This window comes from Homo sapiens, chromosome 2, assembly GCF_000001405.40.
Source record: "Homo sapiens chromosome 2, GRCh38.p14 Primary Assembly".
In the NCBI taxonomy this organism is placed as follows: Eukaryota; Metazoa; Chordata; class Mammalia; order Primates; family Hominidae; genus Homo; species Homo sapiens.
In genome coordinates, this window is record NC_000002.12 from 210587044 (window position 1) to 210604248 (window position 17205).

Sequence of the window (17205 nt, forward strand, 5' to 3'; positions counted from 1 at the left end):
TCCCCCCAGATCTTGAAAGGATTAGGGTATTTTTTTTTCCTTCAGAATAGTCAGTGGGAGAAAAAAAACCCCAGATATAGTTTATATATTTTTTCCTCAACTACAGTCTAAGGATTATAATTTCACATTCTATACAGACTTAGTGGAGAGGTAGATATTTCAGTCAAAATAAACTGTTCTTTCAAATACTCAGTTTGTACTTTTCATCTGAAAATTTTCACAAACGATGAAATCATCCTAAATTCATAGCGTGCTAGCTAACTCTCAAAGCAGGAACCGGTGTGTGTGCCCACCCTTCTAGGCTTTCTCTCTATTATTTCTCCTTTTATGACTTTGGGGAGCTGCTTCTTGGGTTAATGCCTGTGAAAATAGATCTGCCTCCCAGCCGTGCTTCAGACATAGATAATGATTATGATATGCTCTGGGATCTTTTTATGAAATCTACCATTTAAATGCAAACAATTGCACGGCAACCTAAAGGGACTGGTGGTCTATACCTGCTTAGCAATTCCTGTGACTCTTATACTGATTTTATCCATTAGGCCCAACTGCAGAAGCCTTATGTACAGTAATTCAGCTTTACCCCATTTGATCTTTACTGCAAGTTGAGGATCAAGTGGTATTTAAAGCATGATGTATCTATTGCCACATCTGTCTAGTGCTGAATCAGGCAATAATGCTTAAACATTTCATTGCTACCAGTTGTTAATGAGGCAAAACATGAGAAAGATGGTTAACTATGCATGCAACCAGTTTCTTAGAGATCATTGTTATTACTATAATCAACCGTTTATATAAAACAGCAAAGTCTTTTTTTCTCATAAAAAAGATACAGTCTGTGGCACTTGTTGTGCCTTTCTTACAAACTGTTTGTTAACTGCCAGTCACTCCCTAGTAGTTAACAATCAATCTGTTACCAATCTAAGTTCAAAACATTGTCAGATGTGTTTATGATTTTGGTCTGTTGCCCATAGCTGGGACTTCCCTCTCATTCTCTGGTTTTTAAAATGGCAGGATGTCAAAGTGTACGGCAAAGGAAACCCCACAAAAGTGGTAGCTGTAGACTGTGGGATTAAAAACAATGTAATCCGCCTGCTAGTAAAGGTAAGTAATTTGTTCATTTCAAAGGTGAGGGTTTGTCATATTGACCATTAGTGTTCAGCTAATTTCCTCTGTCACAGAGAAACTTATGCATTCTTTCAGAATGTCAGGGGTCTACATTCTTCTTGTTGCTTTTGATTTACAAAATAACACATTTATCCCTGTTCAAATTAAAAATATAGACTGCTATGTTTTTTCTTTAAAAAAAAAACCTCAAGGGCCACTAAAACATGGAAGAAAATGATGACTGTTCTTGTCATTAATTGACTGACAGTCTGAGATGCATCATGTTCACTTTCTTTGTGGTATAGAGATGACCAAAAAGCTAGAGTCTGTCTGATAGCATCTCCTTTGGGCTTACATTTATTTTGTACCACACGTTTGTAGGAATCATGCCCTGACAGAGTACGAACTTTCACATTGTTTTTATATCAACTCTTAGACAACCAGTTAAAATTAAACCTTAAAAATTCTCAAGGAGAACTTAACCATCATAATAATGTTTCTTAAATAAAGTTTTGTTAGGATTTTTCCTTCTCCTCACTCCTCTCTCAGTCTGTCTCTGTCTACACATCTCCCCTCCATACACATACACACACATACACACATATTTGCATAACACCAAATTAGCATGCGTATTGGGAGACTCTTCATCGTACCTCCTTATTAGAGAATACCAGCAATATTCAAATCATGATTTCAAATTCTTGTCAATTTTATTAACAAACATTTGCATGGATAGCATGCATGGTAGCAGATGCTGTGGATGGCCTGTGTATATCTCAATCTCAAGTTACCATTTTAATTCATGTTGCCCATCTTCCAATTGCAAATATCTATATCTCTTTGCCTGATGGCTGGAGCCTACTGGCAGGCAGTAAATGGCATAGAATTAATGATCTCTGGAGTAGCCCCCAACCAAAGCACAGAAAAAGCCAGTGTTTAACCACCCTGGCTCCTTTGTCCCATGGATAGGCAGTCTCTAAGGTAACTATTCCACACGGGCTCTCAGAGTTCCCTACTGGGCTTAAACTTCACTTATCCCTAGTGGTAACTACTTGCTAATGCATAATTTATTGGGGTGTTTCATGATGTCACTTCCTCTCTGTTTAGTATGGAAGTACCTTCCAAATAAGCTTTTGTTCTCTTAAATCCTTGTTTCAGGAAATGCTTCATGGGAAACCCTCAAAGACACCTTCCTATGTGCTTTTATATTAAAAGAAATTTCTAAGTTTTCCATTCGAATATAAATCTTACAGAAAATGAGAAAACCCTAGGAAAGAAGGCTGATTAAAATTTGATAAGACTAAAAGGCAAGACTGAAAAAGGTCTGACGTGGGCCAACTTAACATTTTCAGAAAATGGATTTATATCTTTTTGCAACTGGTCGTGTGAAGGTAACCTACTCTCCTGTCAGTCCAGTCATGGCATTTGTAGGCACTGAAACTTCTCTTGAGTGCAGGAGAGTGCATTATCCATTTTTTCAGGATCAAAACTTTTAATGGTGTTTATTTTTATTTTTATTTTTATTTTGAGACAGGGTCTTACTTTGTTGTCCAGCCTAGAGTGCAATGGTGTGATCTTGGCTCGCTGGAACCTGTGACTCCTGGACTCGGGTGATCCTCCCACCTCAGTTTTCTGGGTAGCTGGGACCATACCTGGCTAATTTTTGTTTTATCTTTTTTGGTAGAGATAGGGTTTTGCCCTGTTTCCCAGGCTAGTCTTGACTTCCTGGGCTCAAGCAATTCCCCCCTATCTTGAGCTTCCCTATGTGCTAGGATCACCGGCATGAGCCACCAAGCCCGGCCCCAAAGAAATTTTTGCTCAGCATTATTTATTTTAAATGTTTACAAATTTTTCCTTCCCTTTAAGGAATGGTTAGTCAAGAGAAAGTCTAGCAAAATTATACTTTGGCAAAGAAACATGTTATTAAATTCATCATTCTTGTGTCTCTTTTCCAGCGAGGAGCTGAAGTGCACTTAGTTCCCTGGAACCATGATTTCACCAAGATGGAGTATGATGGGATTTTGATCGCGGGAGGACCGGGGAACCCAGCTCTTGCAGAACCACTAATTCAGAATGTCAGAAAGGTGCAATGAACCTTGAATTCATGTGTATCTGTGTGGGAGGTGGGGGCTTCCGCTCTATACCCTCAAAGGGCTGTGATACATTTTATTTATTCAGGCATTTTTCAATGCTGGTATTTGTGACTTCTGAGGCAGTGTCAGTAGAGATATTCTGTAGGGGAACCAATGAGGAGAGAATATCAGAGAAAATAGGGTTTTTCTTCAGGCAAAGTAACTTGGGGATCATGTCCTTGAGTTAAAAGAACTGGAGTCCAATGGCCAAATGTATTTTGCTTTACAGTTTTAAACCGACAACTCATGGTTCCTTATCATGACCTTGGGACCCATAAGACCTGCAGGTCTCTAAAGAAATATTAAATTAGATTTAGTTTAGTTTGAATGTAAAGTACATCTTAATGAATTATAATGCTACAAATTTGTCAATTATGTCCTTTTTTATATTCTTCTTTAATTCAGTTACTATTCTCTTTACCTTCTTAAGAAAAAAGGATACCTCATTTTTGTTCATTCAGAAGCAACATTTTTTGGAACTGTACTAATTGGTTAATAAAAATTCTCCCTGATTTAGATTTTGGAGAGTGATCGCAAGGAGCCATTGTTTGGAATCAGTACAGGAAACTTAATAACAGGATTGGCTGCTGGTGCCAAAACCTACAAGATGTCCATGGCCAACAGGTGAGGTATTTTCACTTTTGCTTACAGTAAACCAGCTCTGACATACTAACTAAATACAAAGAACTCAGAGCACTTACCTGCCATTTCTTTAGAGTAAATAAATGCACATGTACCCTAAAACTTAAAGTATAATAAAAATAAATAAATAAATAAATAAATAAATAAAATAAAAAATAAAATAAATAACCATACCTTACGTGGTTGACAGTTGTTTGACTACCTGATACCACTTTTGTTGCATTTTTGGAAAGCAGCCTTCTCTAATGATAACCTTGCTATAATTTAAAGTTATTTTCCTTCCCTTGGCATAAATTGAGGTTATAATACTCAATCAAATGATATTCCAAGGGAAATTGTTCTGATTTTAAGCTTGATTTCAGAACATTGTAACATTTTAAGAAGGTAAGTGTGACTTAAGAGCCGAGGAACCTTTAGATCCTCTTGGTTTCTCTTTTTTGCCTCAAACAATATTAATTTATTAAACATCAGGCTTTTTCCCATGGCCCACCCTCTACATAAATTATAATTCAGGTCTGAGCAGTCATCTCTTTGTTATCTCCCTATAACTCTCGGGCTTTAAAATTATTGTAGTTCTCTTAAAGTAAGTCACTTATATTTCTTAGTTTCTGTTAAGCCGGTGAGCAACCCTTTTTGTTATGAGTGCAATGCCCCCCTTTCTAAAACCGATTATAGAATTTAATAGACCTGCGTATTTAACACACAACAAAGCTTCCTGAATTGATTTTTGTTGGGAAAATTACTGGGATTAACAATCTGTGACTTTTCTCACAGAGTGATTTTCACTAAGCAATTGAAATTTTGAATTTTAATAGGCTTTACTTGTTCACTACTTTATAAGGAATACATTTATATTATTCTCTTCACTTTTCCTTTTCCCTATTCTTTTTCTCCTTTTCTCTCCAGAGGGCAGAATCAGCCTGTTTTGAATATCACAAACAAACAGGCTTTCATTACTGCTCAGAATCATGGCTATGCCTTGGACAACACCCTCCCTGCTGGCTGGAAACCACTTTTTGTGAATGTCAACGATCAAACAAATGAGGTAAATGATGTCAATAAACCTGTTCAGTTGGTGATGAGAAACGCAGGGCTTTTAAAAATAATTGATACATAAGCATTGTATATATTTATGAGATACATGTGATATTTTGATACATGCATATCATATGTAATGATCAAATCACACTAGGATAACCATCACCTCATTTTTTATTTCTTTGTATTGAGAACATTTCAAATCTTCTCTTCTAGCTGTTTTGAAATATGCAATAAATTATTCACTCAGAATATTCACCCAGAGTTTTTAAATACACTATGATGCAAATACCTTTCTCCTGTTTGTTTGTGATTTTTTTGGGGTTGAGTGTTGAAAAACAGCTATAGGTTTTCTCCCATAGCCCTCTGTGTTTTAAAACGTCATTTCTCTCTCTTATTCTCTCATCAGTTGACTTGTTAAGATTCACTATTTGAGTTATTAATCAACAACTATCTCATATATTCAATGTTAGTGGGCTGTTGGTCCAAATCTGTTTGAGCCCCATCTGGGTGGGTCTCTGGGACTTACTTGGCACTGGTGTAGTGTTTGAGAAGACCCTTGGAAAAGTAATTTCGGACTTGGGGATAAGATGAGGACTTGAGTTTACTCTGAACAGAACCCAGAGGGGTCCCAAAGACTATAGACCAAATTTTTTATTTATTTATTTATTTTAAAGGAAAACACATTCAGTTGAGTCTTCATTGACCCATTTTCCATACTTAATCAAAAAGGTCAGATATGTAAGTCCTTAAGATATCGGACCATGTTACTTAATAGTACTGTTAGTTACAAAAATTTTGTTAAGCATCTAACTCAGTTTTTAAATTTGAGCTTTATTGTTCCCTGAATAATACATAGCCACACTTGACATTCATTGTTACAGAAGGAATTTCTTCCTGTTTCTTATTCCTTTAGGGGATTATGCATGAGAGCAAACCCTTCTTCGCTGTGCAGTTCCACCCAGAGGTCACCCCGGGGCCAATAGACACTGAGGTACGTCAAAAAGATGAGGCCTATTATGTATGCAAAAAAAAAATGTATTTGTGTGGAAATTCGAGAAACCAAAATAATCACCCCAGATGATCTTGAGCAGAACATTCTCAAGAAGAGTGCTTTGGTAACACACATTTTGTATTAAAATCTCCCCATGAATGTCACAGAGGAAATTTTTATCTTTTTTAAAATTTAAAGTGGGAAAGCCCTTAAGAAACCCGAAGCGATGGTATTTTTATTTAAACCCATTATCATTCTAATATATTTAGTTCTGAAATTTACAATTGTTGTACTATGCAAATGAATTCCCTTTTGCTCTCTCTCGTTCTCATGACTGAAATGAAATTTTAATCCCCCATCTGTGACTTCACAAAAATCCCTATGGCAACTGGTTGTGTAGCCACTAAGGGAGAATAAACAGCAGCAGGAGAAGGAGGGGAAGGGTGTTGGAGGGGAGAGAGGGCATGCATGCACATACATAGATGATTCAGACGGCTTCAGAAAAGAACCACAAGGAATGCTTAGAGGAGTTTTGTATTTAATCTAAATATTTTTACTTTTTTGTGTGTGAGCTCTTAGTTCATTGTTCAAACCCATCTTTCCAAATAAATTCTTCTGGTGATATCCAGAAAAATCTGAAGTCTATTGTGACTTCCCCACACCCAGGGGCCTCCAGTAGCAAATCTTCATTGTCAGAACTCTCAGAAAAGACTTCGAGGTAAAATGGGGAAGAGAATAAGAGCTTTCTTTCTGCAAGCTCTGCTCTACTCTCTCATGTCTGAATTGCCGTTTTAGATATTTATATTTTGTTCTTGTTTTAATATTATTAGGAAATATTGGTTCTTAATAGCCAAAATCAGTATTATATTACCAACCCATGATGAAACTCATAAATCAAATTTAGTTATGTGTATCATCTAACACATGCTAAGTAGTTTTTTAATTTAAAATTTAAATTAGCATATATTAGTACTTCGGATTAGGAACATTGCAATTAAGATGTAATAATATCCACTGTCACATAATTCTCCTTTTTTGTCTTTCCAATAATTGCAAAATGAATATTCTTTGTTGTAATTTGTCATATCTAGTGAAACAACAGAAGTAAATCCTTTGGCAAAGATTAAGAATAATCTTCAGAAACTGTTTTTTAGAGCCGATAGAAATTTAAATTTAAATTAGTATTTCTAATTTTCTATATCATAAGTGATATAGCTTCAATTGTTATATCCACCTAGAATTTGATTTAGAAGAAACAAATGATATACAATTTACTAAAAACTTGGCATTCTCAGAAGGTATCTGATATGTTTACTGCTTGTTGGAAACTTCTTTTTTATAAGACTTGAAGTGAACAGAAGTGTTTATTTGATTAAATTCTCACACTAACAGATATTTAGTTATTGACAAAAAAGCAAAAAAAGCTGAAATGCTATAATAAAAATTATTTGTTGCTTATCTGAAGTTCAAATTTAACTGGGTATATTGTGTTTTATCTGGTGAACTTAGGAATTTTGAAGCTTCTAACTAGTTGGTTGTATTTTTTTCTAGTACCTGTTTGATTCCTTTTTCTCACTGATAAAGAAAGGAAAAGCTACCACCATTACATCAGTCTTACCGAAGCCAGCACTAGTTGCATCTCGGGTTGAGGTCAGTATGTGGGCTTATTTTTGGTTTATGAATTTTGGATTGTCCCTATCACATGAAGATTTTTAAAAACTAAGTGATGTAAGGCATACTAGTGTTTAATAAAAGATGACTGGTAATATTGTAATAGACTGTCATTTTGTAACTAATTATTTGGTTCCTTCTTGATGATGTCTAGTGGAACTTCTCATGTTTTGATTTAAAATAATGTCTTTTAAAGTTTACTTCTTCCAGAGTATTTGTAATAACATAACAAAGAATAGTGTTTAGTTTAGAATTTATTTCCCATTATCCAAAAAGCCATAGCTCTATGTAAACATGAGATACATTTCAGACTACAGAATCATTATAGATGATAGAATTCTTTTTGTTTCAACTAGAATAACTGTTATTCAACATCATGTACTGAGTATTATTTTACCTCTAAAAAGCAAATGGACAAGAATATAACACTTAAATCCTTAATTTGAATATGTATGTTAGTGTGATAAAGTTTTTACCCATTTCCTTCATAAACTACACATTCATATCATTATTTAAAATTTAGAAGGATATATGTGTATTTGAAAAAATACCACACATAGATATATTTACATATATGTATATATTTTTGGATATTTATATATGTTTAAATAAAATGTAAACCTCTGCCAAAAATTTTTTACTTAAGAGAAAAACCTTAATAAACTTTGGAAGTCACATTGAAATCAGAGATGTTTTAAGTTATTAGTCTTTTTCCCTATATATTACATATTTTTCATTACATTAGACCTTAGATGACCACATAAACTCAGACAATGTGGTTTGTCTTCTCCAATCTTGAAAATGCCTTATTTCCCCCATTTTAGCAGTAATAACAGTGTCTTTTTCTTATTGCTTATAGGTTTCCAAAGTCCTTATTCTAGGATCAGGAGGTCTGTCCATTGGTCAGGCTGGAGAATTTGATTACTCAGGATCTCAAGCTGTAAAAGCCATGAAGGTGAGAGAATATGATCCTTACTAGAATTAATATGCTTCCTTTAATGAGTCTAATTAGTATTTTATAATTTAGATTTATGACACTACCTCTTTTCAAAGTTGCTATAATTATTTTCCTTAACTGTGCCTTTATAAATCTTGTATTAAAGAAGCTTGATCACGAGCAAGAATTTCAACTTTCTGTAATGTGCACATCTGTAAATTGAGGAGGTTAATCTCCAAAATTATTTAGGTTATTGCCTCCTTATAGTGAAAACATATAAAGCCACATTTATTTATGCTGTTTATTTCTTTTGAGGCAGTGAGTTTTTCAAATATACTTATCTTTTATGTGAAAGAGAAATTTTGGGCATCTTTGGTGCTTTAAAGTATTTCAAGTGCTCTACAGGATGCTTCGGGCATCTCTGTGGTTGAAATGGGAAACTCCAGTTGGAGAAGCAAGGGCAACAGTACATTTTGTTCAGGTGTTATAAATTATTATCTGTCACTGGGGGACACAGTTCTCCCATCAGTGCCTGGGAAACGGGATGATATGGCAACATTTTCAAGTAGAAAAAAAGATTTGATACACAGGTGTGGAAGGACATCCTTCCTGTTTCTTTAAACTCTCTGGAGATCTCCCAACACTTACTGTAGTAAAATAAAACTTTAGAAAAATTCCGTTGTATATTTAATGTATTTCTCTTGAGGAGTTCAGTTGGTACCCCTCGTTGTGCTAATCAGGCCATTCGGAGGCAATGTGAGCTCTTGGTGACATTGCCTCAGGCTTTGCAGTGTAATGCCATTCACCAGAGACCAGGCTAGTAGAGTCAGCATAGAATGGCAACAGAAGACTAGGACAGCAAACCTGGGAAAAATAGTTGGCCAAAGGTTTTCTTATTTTTCTTTTTGTTAGTATTCTATAGTCAAAGATTTTCACCTGATGGGCGTCTGTTGAAGAGGTAGAACACAGTCTCAATGACTTTACTCTTTTTCCCATTTGTTTTTATTTTTTAATACTCTCCTCCATTCATGTGCATGCATACTCACATATTTTTTGGAATAAATTTTCAAAACGATGTTTTACTTCTTTGTATTATGCTTTAATTTCTCATTAGATAATTGGAGACTGTCCAGTGGTTTAGATTAGTTAGTACACAATCTAAGTGTGTTCAGAGTTTAGAATACATTTAACTGTATACAGTTTTTATTCTATTTGGGAGTTTTGCAAATAATTAGAATTTCTATAGTTTTGTATTTTAATGTGTTTTACATCAATTGGGTAAAGTTATATAGTTTTAACTAAAGAACAGGAATTATTAGATTAGATTGTGATCACTTAGAAGGTTAATAACTAGAGGTGGATTTTTAAACTAAAAAAATAATTGGTGCATATATTGCAACAAGAATTAGAAAAATCAGAATGATTTAAAATTAAGATTGCAATAAGGTTTAAAATAAATGAACACTCATCATGTGTATGTATAGGATCTTTTCCTGTATAATTTGACTTATAAAAAATCGCCATATTCATTGTATAGAACATTCAGAAAAATACTTAAATATACTAAAGTTTGTTGGTACTTTTCTTTAGTTGTGAGGCTTTCTATAACTTCTGTTGCTGGTATGTTCTCAGTTGGGACTCAATTATTAAAATTCATCACATATTATAAAAGCATTTGCTTACCTGTTTGTATCTTCCTGACATTTTGTTAATAATATTACTCTTAAAATCTTGAGAGATGACTCGTATTGAGGAAAGAGCATAGGATTTGAATCATAACATTTGAATTAGAGCCCTAATATTGCCACTTATTAGCTATGTGACCTTTAGCAAACCATTTAACCTTACTGAATCTCAATTTCTTCATCCAAAAGGTTGAAATCTCTTTCATAGTCTTGGTATAAAAATCAAATACATTACTAAAAAGTACATTACAAGCATTAAGTCACTATTTGAATTTAAAGCAGCATAAAATATATTTAATGTTTTATTCAGATCCTCCCCAAAGATATGTGGGGTTTTCAATAATAATTTCTATACTTTTATCTGAATATTTTGTTGACTTTTTAGGAGAATTTAAAATTGACATGCTAATGTATGAAATAATTAGAACCATCTGGCTGTATGTTATAATAATTATTTTGCTAAGTGTCACCCTCATCTTGGTTTATAAAACAATTATCCTTAGTAGCCTACATAAAGAATTATTTTGAAGGTCTCTCCCGATGTAAGGAATGAGATAGAGCTATGAATACCTTCATATATATACACACACACACAAACATACACACACACATGCATGCATACACATAGTTTTATTTCTTTTACCATATGGTTTTTTAAATATGTACAAACAGTTGTATAATGCTTTTTGTTAAAGCACTATAGCAAGCATGAATCTAGAAAATAAATAGAAACCAGCAGAAGGCTCTCAGTGCTTCCAGCAAGAAGGGAGCACATTATTCTGCATTTTAAATGTACATTCAATGTTCTTCTTAGACAAATAAATACAAGGGGGAGCAGCTTTTTTTTTTAACTTTTATTTTAGGTCTGGGGGTTAACATGTGAAGGATAAATAAGATCCTTTTTGAATAAGCAAATATTGAGGGAATTCATTACCACCAGACTAGCCTTACAAAATATCTTGAAAGGAACACTAAGTATAGAAAGACCACTACCAGCTAATACAAAAATGCACGTAGACACACAGACCAGTGTCACTGTAAAGTAACTACACAAACAAACCAACATAATAACCAGCTAATAGCACAATGGCAGGATCAAATCCACATATCAATACTAACCTTGAATATAAACAGGCTAAATGTCCCACTTAAAAGGAATGGAGTGGCAAGCTGGATAAAAAAGCAAAACCCAATGGTATGCTGTCTTCAAGATACCCATCTCACATGTAGTGACACCCATGCGCTCAAAATAAAGGGATAGAGGAAAATCTACCAAGCAAATGGAAAACAGAAAAAAAAAGGGGATACAATCCTAATTTCAGAAAAAACAGATTTCAAATGAACGAGGATTTAAAAACAGACAAAGAAGGGCATTATGTAATAGTAATGGGTTCAATTCAAGAAGAAGATCTAACTATCCTAAATATATATGCACCCAACACAGGAGCACCCAGTTTCATAAAGCAAGTTCTTAGAGACCTGCAAAGAGACTTAGACTCCCACACAATAATAGTGGGAGGTATCAACACTCCACTGATAGTATTAAACAAATCATTGAGGCAGAAATTTAACAAAGATATTCAGGACCTAAACTTGACATTGGACCAAATGGATCTGATAGACCTTTGTAAGAACTCTCCACCCCAAAACAACAGAATATACATTTTTCTCATTGCCACATGACACATACTCTAAAATTGACCACATAATTATAAGCAGCTTTCGTATTGCCTCTAGTTCCATTTTATATTTACTAATTTAAAATTTTTGGAATATGTTATTCTTTTAAGGTTGATTGAACTACAGGGTTCAGTAATATTTGTGGCTCTCTAGACCAATTATATAGAAATGGTCTCCAGCTTTGCCAACAGTGGCAAAGATCACCTCATGGCGATCTTCATGAGACAGCCAATTCTTTTGGATAGTTTCATTTTCAAGAATTTCTTCATTTCTTTGACCAAATGCTTGTCTTCCTTTAACTTCCATTCACTAGTCCTGTTACGGATCTCTACGGCCCACAGATAACCTAAAAGCTTAGTTACCCCATGTCTTTTTATTTAAGTGTGGTCATTCTCTTCTTTAGACCATATATTCATGTACTGGATTCTTTTGTTTCTTTCAGGAAGAAAATGTCAAAACTGTTCTGATGAACCCAAACATTGCATCAGTCCAGACCAATGAGGTGGGCTTAAAGCAAGCGGATACTGTCTACTTTCTTCCCATCACCCCTCAGTTTGTCACAGAGGTCATCAAGGCAGAACAGCCAGATGGGTTAATTCTGGGCATGGGTGGCCAGACAGCTCTGAACTGTGGTGAGTTCTTATAAGCTTAATTGCAGAGTTTTGACATATGCACTGCTGTGTAATGTATTTTATTTGAGCTCATCTAACAATTGTGCTTTGTGTGTTCATAAAACCTTTCCTCTACTGTGTGAGAAAGCAGTTAGCAAACAGCCACTTAATATAGTCATATGATGAATACTACTAGTTAATTTCACAAAATAGCTGATAGACAAAGAAACCTTTCACTTTAATGCTCCAGAGTGGCCAGTAGGTTTCTTGCATTTCTCTACTCTATCGCAGGATATTGCTTTTCTCTGTTGCTATTGAGGTCTTGAGAACTATTATGAATGAAAAATGAGAATTAACATTGGTTAAGTGCTCTTAGGTATCAGCCCTGCAGCAATTTCCTCTCAAACACATTTTCATGATAGCATAGATCAGTCTTTCTACTATTACTTCATACTTCTGCTGAGTCTACTGCTTTGTTCTCTTTAAAATTCTTCAAATCTTTGGAACTGGATCATGAATAAGAGTCTCTTTAGCTAGTTTGGGTAAGCAATTGGTGATATAACTTGTATGTCAAAAAAAAAAAAAGGACTAAGGCAAAATTAGGTGGCTAGGTAGTGGAAACACAAACCATTTTGAGGATAATTTTTTAGCCCAGGTAGGTACTCATATATTTGGGATTTTTTAAATTATAGAATCTCATTATAGAAATGGACTTTAGGAGGAAAGGGAATATATTGAAATCTTAAGGCTCAGTATAATACTATGACTTTTATTAATAAGGATAAAAATGATTTTCAGAAGATGGTAATATAAGTAAAAGTAGCATCAGTAACATATTTTGTCAGACCGTCTTCAGAATTTTTATTTCAATTTTTTTCCCTAAGTGCAATTCTATTGTAGACAGTGGTAACTTCTCGGATTTTAAGATTAAAAAAGTAGTTGTATTCAGTTGTCTATTAAAAAAGGCACAAAATTCAAGATTTTAAAAACTAATCCTATTTGGTTCTTCTTTAGGAGTGGAACTATTCAAGAGAGGTGTGCTCAAGGAATATGGTGTGAAAGTCCTGGGAACTTCAGTTGAGTCCATTATGGCTACGGAAGACAGGCAGCTGTTTTCAGATAAACTAAATGAGATCAATGAAAAGATTGCTCCAAGTTTTGCAGTGGAATCGGTAAGGATTCTTTGCTTTGGAAAAACAAGGGCATTATTTGTCTTGTGTTGTAGGGAGAATGATTTTTCATGCCTAATAATAATAGTTAAGATTATTATACTTGCATGCATTTTCTTCTAGAATTGTGTTAATAGTTTAGAAATATTGTGTATTACAGCACTCAATGCTGAAATTATAGGTATTAACATTTTACTTTATGCAAAGAGAAACAGAAGTCCAGAGATGAAGTGGTTTATCAAGGCTTGAAGTGCCAATGAATCTCAGATCTCCTGAACTGAAACTAAGAACCATACCAACTTGCAATAACAAAGCAATTTTTACCTTGTTTCTGGGATCAATCACATATTTTGCATGTGTGAATTCCCTGCAAATGAGAAATTTGCTTTAAATTTTTTTTAAATAAAATAAACATTTTAGAATAAAATGGATCCAGTCATTAAAATGACTGGAAAACCTGTAGTTTAGATATTTAAGGAAGATTTGCTTTTCTGTTATTTATTTCCATTGCCCCTTATGCCTATCAATAAGCTATTAACAGTTACCAGGAAAAAGAATCAACTCACTTTATATCTGTTTTTGCCCCTGACTTTATTTTTGACTTCAGGCTCATAGCTGGTGAAGTGGAGGTGCTAGGGGCAGTGTTAAATCCAACTTCTCCATGGTAGAAACAGGCACACCCTTAGGAATAAAGCAGGTACTGCTGGGACAACTAAAAATGGGTTATGTATGTTTCAGAAGACAATGCTACCAAGTATCTTTTGTGTTACAAACTTGTCAATCAAATAATCCCAGGATAACTCTGCTGCACAATTTGGGAAGCTCTTGCCATACATTTGTTCTTTCATTGCCAGATTTAATTATGTCCTTGCTTCCTCAGGAAAAGAAACAGGCATATGGGAAAGGTGTAATTACATTCCCATTGGTAGTGTAATAATATTCCATGACAGAAAAATATAGCCACCATATGTTGTATTCTGTAAGTTAAAAAAAAGAATTCCAAGCTTCTGGGACTATGCTCAGACTGAACTTGAAAATGAAAAATCCATTTATATACAGTGTTCCTAATGGCTTATTGTGGTAACATCAAGCTAGCTTCAGCAGCAGAGAACCTGGTTTCATTAAGACAGAGACTTTTAAGCTGCATGTAAAAATCGTAAAAATCCAATAATTCAATATGGCTGCCATTCTCAAATGAATGATGATTATTTCTGCTTTGACCATGGTTCTGTTTCAATAGGACAGGATAAAATTTACCGCAAAAGTGTATTTCTTAGAAGATATATATATATATATCCTCCCTTCTAGAATTTTACTTAACATTTGAGTAACAACACTTGCTTTTCAGAATGAGATGAGGGAATAATAGAACATTTCTAGATTCACTCTCCCCACATAAGTTGGTTTACCTGATTGCCAGACTCTCTTGGTGTGGTCTGTTCTGCCAGTGTGCTCAGCTTTTAAAATGTTGAGTCCTTGTTCTTGTTGACAGATTGAGGATGCACTGAAGGCAGCAGACACCATTGGCTACCCAGTGATGATCCGTTCCGCCTATGCACTGGGTGGGTTAGGCTCAGGCATCTGTCCCAACAGAGAGACTTTGATGGACCTCAGCACAAAGGTATGTATTTTTGTAGACAATATTCTTACCAACCAAAAAAACTGGCTTGATAGACCTTTTCAACTAGAGAAAGTTATGTAGATGAGAAATTACATTTTCTTTATTAAATCATGATCATGTTCTCCAAAAGCGTATTCCAAAAGATGACACTTTTGCGAGAGCATGCAGTGCAACTCTTCATGCCAGGATGCAATGATAAACCACATGGTTCAAGGTAAACCAGTGGTCACTTTACCTCAAATTCCACTTTTATAGTACAATCTATTGACTTCAAGGAGATGAACTTAATTCAACTCCTTCTTCCTTTGTTTCAAAATCTACTCTCAAATATTTAAAATGCTAAAATATGTTTTAGTGGTTAAGGAAAAATAGGACATAATGTCTCATTTTTAATTTTTTAGAAATAATGTGGCTGGCATGGGTGACATCCAGAAAGTGAAACAAAGCACATTGAGTAGTTTGACTTTACTCAAAATTAAGGTGTCTAAAATATACATGGTATAAACCACTCAATACAGTAAATGACTGAACTCCACCAACTGCCATATACTCATAAAAACACGAGAGATTTGAGGGTTTATAATTTATTTTCTATCAAAATCACTTTAACATATTAGGAACTACTTCTTTCTTTGCATGTTAGAGGAAAACTCTTGAGAAAAGTAAGCTATGCTACAAAAACTAAATTAGAGACTAATGCAGAAAATATGCTCCAGGAAAACAGAGACTTTTGTCTATACTCTATTTCCACAAAATAGAACAGTGCCTGGAAATACCAGGAGTTCAATAATGTCTTTGAAGAATGATTACACGTGCAGCCAAGAAACCTGTGTAACTTACATGGCAGTCATAGAAGTGAATTTGACAGAATTACTGTAAGGGCTATTTTGGGAATTATTTAGGAAATAGCTCACGGACAGCTTATTGCTTCATCTTTACTTACTTTTTGAACTGAAGTGAAATGAGACCCTTGAATTGTTGACATAGAATTTTGAAAACAGATAAGTACAATTCAGCATATTTAAATAACTACAATGGCAGACTTACATATAAACAACTTGGGTTTCGTTTTTCTAAAGTTGTGAAAATTACAAAAAAGGGAAACATACCTCACATAAATGTTTCTTGTTACCATTCTGGACATATGAATCACATATTTAGAGCAAAAACATGTTTTTGAAGATAGAAAGTTTATTTCCTCTAGCATGTTAGAGGCTCCAAATATTTTCAATATTAACAACTTCATAACTGCCAATTGTGACAGTGTATACATATTCTCTATTAATTTTTTTACTCTATAAGAAACCAATCTGAAGACTGAACTTTTCATGTAAGAAAGTTTATAATAAAGAGAATTTTGGAATGAAATAGCTTTCAATTATTTATATTGTACTCAAATAATCAATAGTCCCTTAAATGGTTTTTCTTGTTGAAAAAAACCCTCGCTCTTCCCTTGAGAATAATTAGTCATATCATTATGTCCTAAACAATCCCCTATTCTCTTGAGGTTATAATTAGCACCATTAAAAGCTGCATTAACTTATCCAGGTCCCTAAATTAACTTTTTACATAAAATCGAAGACTTCAAAAAATAAAAATAAAAATAAGCTGAGGAAACAGGTGAAGATAATTTCAAATTTTCCCTGTATCTAAATATCCATTTTACTTCATTAGAATGCAAAATACTTTTCCAAATTTATACCCTTTGTTTCCTAGATTTCTTCTTTTAGCAGGCAACCGGAATGATGAATTAATCATTATTAAATTGTTAACATTGGCTACTGAATTTTCTAACCACTTTGAGAACCTCATCGTGGGCAGCTGTGGGGACAAATGTGTCACATTTTCATTTGCACGTGCTGGAGCCTGTAGTGATGACTGAAGTTTAAAAAAATCCTATTAAGGCACATTACAGAAA

General features: G+C 34.3%; 1 protein-coding gene across 6 annotated transcripts in view; it reads left to right on the forward strand.

Annotated features, from left to right (window-relative positions):
• The window catches only part of CPS1 (carbamoyl-phosphate synthase 1), a 201423-nt gene that overhangs the window by 109359 nt on the left and 74859 nt on the right, over positions 1–17205 (forward strand). For 4 of the 6 annotated variants that reach the window (NM_001369257.1, NM_001122633.3, NM_001369256.1 and 1 more), the window contains 10 exons: positions 1015–1104; positions 3063–3191; positions 3757–3863; positions 4788–4926; positions 5836–5913; positions 7465–7563; positions 8444–8539; positions 12329–12518; positions 13512–13669; positions 15159–15287. In NM_001369257.1, coding sequence (NP_001356186.1) covers positions 1015–1104; positions 3063–3191; positions 3757–3863; positions 4788–4926; positions 5836–5913; positions 7465–7563; positions 8444–8539; positions 12329–12518; positions 13512–13669; positions 15159–15287 — 1215 coding nt within the window. Of the gene's footprint in view, positions 1–1014; positions 1105–3062; positions 3192–3756; positions 3864–4787; positions 4927–5835; positions 5914–6311; positions 6632–7464; positions 7564–8443; positions 8540–12328; positions 12519–13511; positions 13670–15158; positions 15288–17205 lie in introns of those variants that run through there. The other 2 variants (NR_161225.1, NR_163592.1) reach the window with 2 other exon arrangements.